General features: G+C 55.7%; 1 annotated feature.

Annotated features, from left to right (window-relative positions):
* Positions 4969–5238: a silencer, noted in NCBI's record as "silent region_16901". NCBI's record gives its function as "represses an Ori minimal core promoter by ATAC-STARR-seq in GM12878 lymphoblastoid cells {active_cell/tissue: GM12878}" and the evidence as "EXISTENCE:reporter gene assay evidence [ECO:0000049][PMID:35858748]".

The raw sequence follows: 5252 nt of genomic DNA on the forward strand, positions 1-5252 counted from the left end.
AAGACACGCACGAAGGGCGCACCTGCAGCTCTCCGGGATTCAGGCGGGGGTCGCTGTGCTCTCTTAAAAGTGAGCGGCGGTTTCAGCCTGCCACCGCTTCGCCTCGCCAGCTCGGAGGAAACTCTGGCTGGAGGCGACCTCGGGCCCAGCCGGACGGGCCGGGCCGAGCCTAGGAGGGGCTGGCAGACGTGTCCCAGGGCCAGGGTGGGGCGTAGGGAGCGCCGTCTCCACCCTCAGTACTTTTGGGGTGGGGGACCTGAGCGTGCGGAGAGCGGGAGGCAGAGCTGAGAGCGGGGTTAAGCGCGAAGCTAAGGCGCCGCATAGGGTTGGGTGGGAATGGACAGGGTGAGCTGGAAGCGAAGCACCCCAGCCAGGCCTTAGGAGAGAGGACCGTCGGCATCTGTGCACATCCTAGCGGGCGGATGATGTGGGAGAGAGGCGGAGGGAGGTGAAATGCGGGAGCTAGAATTTAGCTTTGCAGTGAGGTCACTTGGGGTCTGCATTCAGCTCCGATATATACATGTAGGGGCTGTGTGATCCTGGGGAAGTTACCGACCTTGTCTGAACTCCTGTTTCCTGGTTTGTAAAGTGGCTAATTGGTGGGAATTCAATAGGAGAATGTGCGCAAAACGCTTAGCACAGCGCCTGGCCAACAATGCGCTCTCAAGAAAGGCTGCTGAGCCTTGTCCAGGACGGTCTACACCGCCCCACGTCCAAGATGAGTTCACAGCGCCCAAGACCTGTTCAATTTAAGATGATGTAAACTGCATTGCCCTTCTTAGACACGCAGCAGCCAGGAGCTGGTCATCTGCACCTCCCGCGATTTCCTCCTCAGAACCCCAGTCCTGCCAGATTTGCGTCCTTCCCTGGCTCCTCAAACACCTGCTGCACCGCTCAGAGCCTTTCCCCACCCCGACCTCCTCCGCAGCTCCGCACCAGCGAGACTGCGCCCCGTGGCACCTCGGGGGTGCCACGATTGGCGGGGGATGGGGGATGCCTCCCAGCTTCATCCGCTCTCCGGGTTCCAGACAACCATTCCGGAGAGCCAGCTGCTCTCAGTGCGGGCAGGCCCAAGGCCACTAACTGCACTTGGCGACCCACCTCCGTTCCCAAGAGGCCTCGGAAAGTGCGGCCTCGGGTCTCTTTTGAAACAGAGACCCGCGGCACCCCGCTTCTCCCCCTGGGATAGGAGAGGGAGAGCCGCGGGAGTTCCGCAGCCACTCCTGGCGCTGCCACCACGAAGCAGGTTCACTAGCTAACAGGGCCTGGGACACTGAGCCGTGTCGCAAACTTTTCTGTGCCCCACTCAATGAGGGAAGCCTGAGCTGCGGTGAGGGGCGGGATGACCTGGTGTTGGGTTGAGCGGAGCTCCCAGCTTCAGGTAATGCTGAGCTCAGGCTCTCTGAGGCCTGTGGTGTCAGAAACTGCGGTGGAACCCATTCTCCGCCAACAACCCTCCTCCCAGCGCCATCAGCCCCAAAGTTTCTGAGGGAGTAATCTCTGAGTTAGGGTTAAGCCCTGCTTGAGCCTCATTTTCACTCCACTCCTTCACTTACCATCAGGCACCATACCCCTAGCGATTTCACCCAACGTTCTCTAAATGAACTTGGATATCTGGACCCAAGTCTGAGCAATGGGTTCATTCGGGTGATGACCTCGGCTTTGCTTTTCCGCTGGGGAGTTGAAGATCCCTGGGCAGGTGGAGTGACCTCTGGCTTCACGTCTTTCCTCTTCCCCTGTCTCCCACAGTGGCTGCTATTCCCTGCCCTTGGCAGAGCAAACCTAATTTAAACTTTGTTTCCTTCTTGGTCCCCCTTGGCGTGGTAAACTTGCCCTCAGGGTCAGGGCCAGGAAGAAGGAGAATTGGGCTACTCAAAGGAAAAGGTGAGGGAAACTGAGTGGCATGACTCTCCAATTGGATTAGGGCAAAGGAATTACCAGGAGAATTACCAGCAACCACAGGAGAAGAAATTAGCCAAATCTCTTAGCAAAGGTGTCCAGGGAGAAGGTGAAGAAGGAAGGGTGTGCATTAGGGATGTCCCACTGTGGCTTTCCAGAATGCACGCTTTCAACTGACAGCAGTGGGTACAGGCCCGAGGTGTGCAGCAAGCTGGGAAGCCCAGAGGCCGAGAAGCTAAAGATGCCCTGGAGACTGGAGGAGCGCATCACCGGTCAGTGCGCCCCCTCCAGGAGCGGCCTCCCGGCCCTCTCGGCCTTAGGCGACAGGTGCAGCAGCTGTCTCTACTGCCCGCTGTGCCAGGGCGGCTGCCGAGCACTGGTGCGGAACCACTATCGGAACGAGTTTGCACTTCTGTTTACAAAGCAATCCTGCCATCAAAAGAGGAACAAAATCACCACTTATCACACCCTGTCATAAAGTAATCTGCCCTGGAGGGAAACCCTTGTGGAGAACTGCTGTGTGTGTGTGTGTGTGTGTGTGTGTGTGTGTGTGTGTGTGTTGGGGGAGGGGGGATGGAGGAAAGGGGGATTCTCCCAACTCTTCTGCAGAGTAAATCGCTGGAACGCGTGGTGTCCCAACCGGCCTGGAAAGACCGAGAGTACCATGAGCTGTGAAGCTGGGGTGTGACAGGGATGCCCGTCCAGGGCTGGCAAGAGTGCAGAATGGCTCTCTTGGATCTTTGGAATAGGCACATCTGCAGACCCCGCTCCAATGTTTACTTTCCTAGCGCCTTCGAAGATACTCCCAAGGGCCCCCAAAATAGATCAGCAAAAAGTGTTGGGGGTGGGGGGAGTGAAAAAGCCAGTTCTTGAAGACTGTAAGGTCCCCTTTCGCATCTCAGCATCTGGAGTGTGCAGGGAATTCCTGACCAGTGGTTTTGCTCCCTCCAATCCCTTGCCTCCCCCCTCCCATGTTATGCACTTGTTCTTGGAGAGATGGACGTTAAAGAAGCGTCAAGCAGTTCTCACTGCAAATAAATGGTGCAGAAATAAGAGAGAGAGGATGAAAGCCTAGGAAGTTATAAGTGATCCTGACCCGACCCAGCCACCAGGGGGTTATCTCTTTCCAGGTCCTGCCTTGTGTAGAGTGAGGTGATAAACGCTTTAGGCAGCCAAATCCAAGCACAGCTGGGTGCCTGGCGGGGATGGGGTGGGGGTGGTCCTATGTGGTGCCTCTGCCTCTGGAGTTACCTTTAGGAAAGGTCAAGAGAACTATCCTCCCCTCCATGTCTGCTGAAAAGGGGCTATTTTGCTAGTCTTGTTATCAGTAATTCACCACTTAATATAACCAGGTTTTAGGTTTGTATATGAGCGATCCTGGACATCCAATACCATCCCCCCAGTTCCCCAGCGCCACTCCTGGACATTCTAGACACCAGCGAGGCTTCTTCTGCAGCCATTCCTAATGTAGCAGATCCATTTTGGGGGGAGTCTGGATGCAGGTGTGTGTGATCCAGCCTGAATTTGAGACTCTCAGTTTCTTTAACACCAGCTTGAAAAGTCTGCAATCACTAGCCCTGAGAGAGTACTTTGGTTCCTAATGGGATATCCTGAGTCAGGGTGGCTGAAAGAGCTACCAGTTTACCTTGTACATGGCAGGCAGAATTCTCAATGCTAACTTACCACTTGCACTTATTGAAGGCCTGGGGGAGATGGTTTCATCCTTCATAATTCCTGTATGTCTGATGCCAGTGGAGAGTCAATGTTTTGCTGTGTCACTGTGCAAAAAACAAACAAACAAACAAAAAACCTGTAAGGTGAGGGATTGTACTTTTCAATGACTGGGGAGCTAGTTCCAAAGCTGGCACAATCGCCAAGAGCTAAATGGAAGAAGGTCCTTGCTCCTTCTCCAAAAAACCTTTCCTGGGGGTAATGGGTGACTTAGGGCAGTGACCTTCAAACTTTGCTGTGTATTAGAGTCAGCTGGAGGGTTGTAAAGTCGCGATGCCTGAGCGGCTCAACACAACAAAGAAATCAGAATATCTGGGAGTAAAACCCAGATTTGGGAACCATTTAGGGAAAGTCTGCCTCGATCTGTAGCAGAGTTTTGGGATTGACTTTCTAAACTGCAGCCACTCCTCATCTTTGGCCTTGTGAAAAACTTGAGACCCCGGCTTTATCAGTCCCCCTTTTGAAAAACAGGGCGTGTCTCAGCCCTAGGTATGCAAAGCTAAACGTCTCAAACCGCTCTGCATTCGAATTAGCCAACTTAAGAACAAGTCCAACAGCACTGCTAAGCAAGAGCCTAATAACTCAGCGTTTCGCGACATCTCTTGGCGGCGTTGACCGTTTGCCCGGGACACTGGTTTAGAAGCACGGCATAGGGTGTCTCTACATCTTAGAAATCAAGACAGCCTCTAGGTTAGAATAAAGTTTACTCTGGACTGGGCATAACTCCACTCCACCTCTGCGATTCTTCTTCTCGTTTCCCGTCTTCTGTCTTTTCTTTCCTCCCTTCCCAACTCCTAGCGCGCTACTTTAACGTCTCAGTCTCGTTCGCTAAGCCCATGCGCCTGGGACTTGTTCTTTGAATCTCAAGTCCGAAAAGCCAGGAATCCTCGATCATGGACTTCCTCCTGCTAAATTAGAGGGAGTGAAATTTCGCTCTCCTCTCCATCCTACTTCCCCATCCCAAACTCGCTAGATTAAGTTCGCTGACCAGGCGCGCACCCAATGGCAGCACCCTCTCCAACATTTTCCCCACCAGAGAGGCAAGTGTCCTACATTTGTACGTAAAGGTCCCTGAGTGGCTAGGTGGAGAGGCTCGGATGTCTTTTCCTGGAGCGGGCCTCGGGGAGCTGCAGCAGCCCCAGCCTCAGGCACCACAGCCAAGCGAGCGCGCCTTGGGCTCGCTGCTCTGCACGCAGCTGGAGGTCTGGGCCGCTGACCCTCTGGCCACGTAGTCAACCCGAGGATGTGTGCCCCGGGGCTCGGCCTTGCCTCGGGTGAGAAGGCTAGTCACCATTCAGGGTGCAGGTGTCATGGCCTGGAAATGGCAATATCTGAGCAAACAGGTGGGCGTCGCTTCCCGGCGGTGCGGTGGCCGCTGGCTCGCAGCGCGCTCCAGCTTTCGGCGCCGCCGCCGCCCCTTTGCTCTGCGGACTCAGCCAGTTCCCGGGTGGCCCAGCTGGGTGGCTCCGAGGCCTGCCCCCTTGGGCTGCGGCGGGAGGCGGGGACTGCAGTGCCGAGTGTAGGGCGCCCCAGCCGGGCTGGCGGTTCACGCTGCGCTCGGGCCTCTGCCGGGAGGGCGCCCTGGCGCCAAACCCGGGCGGGCAGGGGGGTGGAGAGCCGAT

This window comes from Homo sapiens, chromosome 6 (assembly GCF_000001405.40).
Source record: "Homo sapiens chromosome 6, GRCh38.p14 Primary Assembly".
In the NCBI taxonomy this organism is placed as follows: domain Eukaryota; kingdom Metazoa; phylum Chordata; class Mammalia; order Primates; family Hominidae; genus Homo; species Homo sapiens.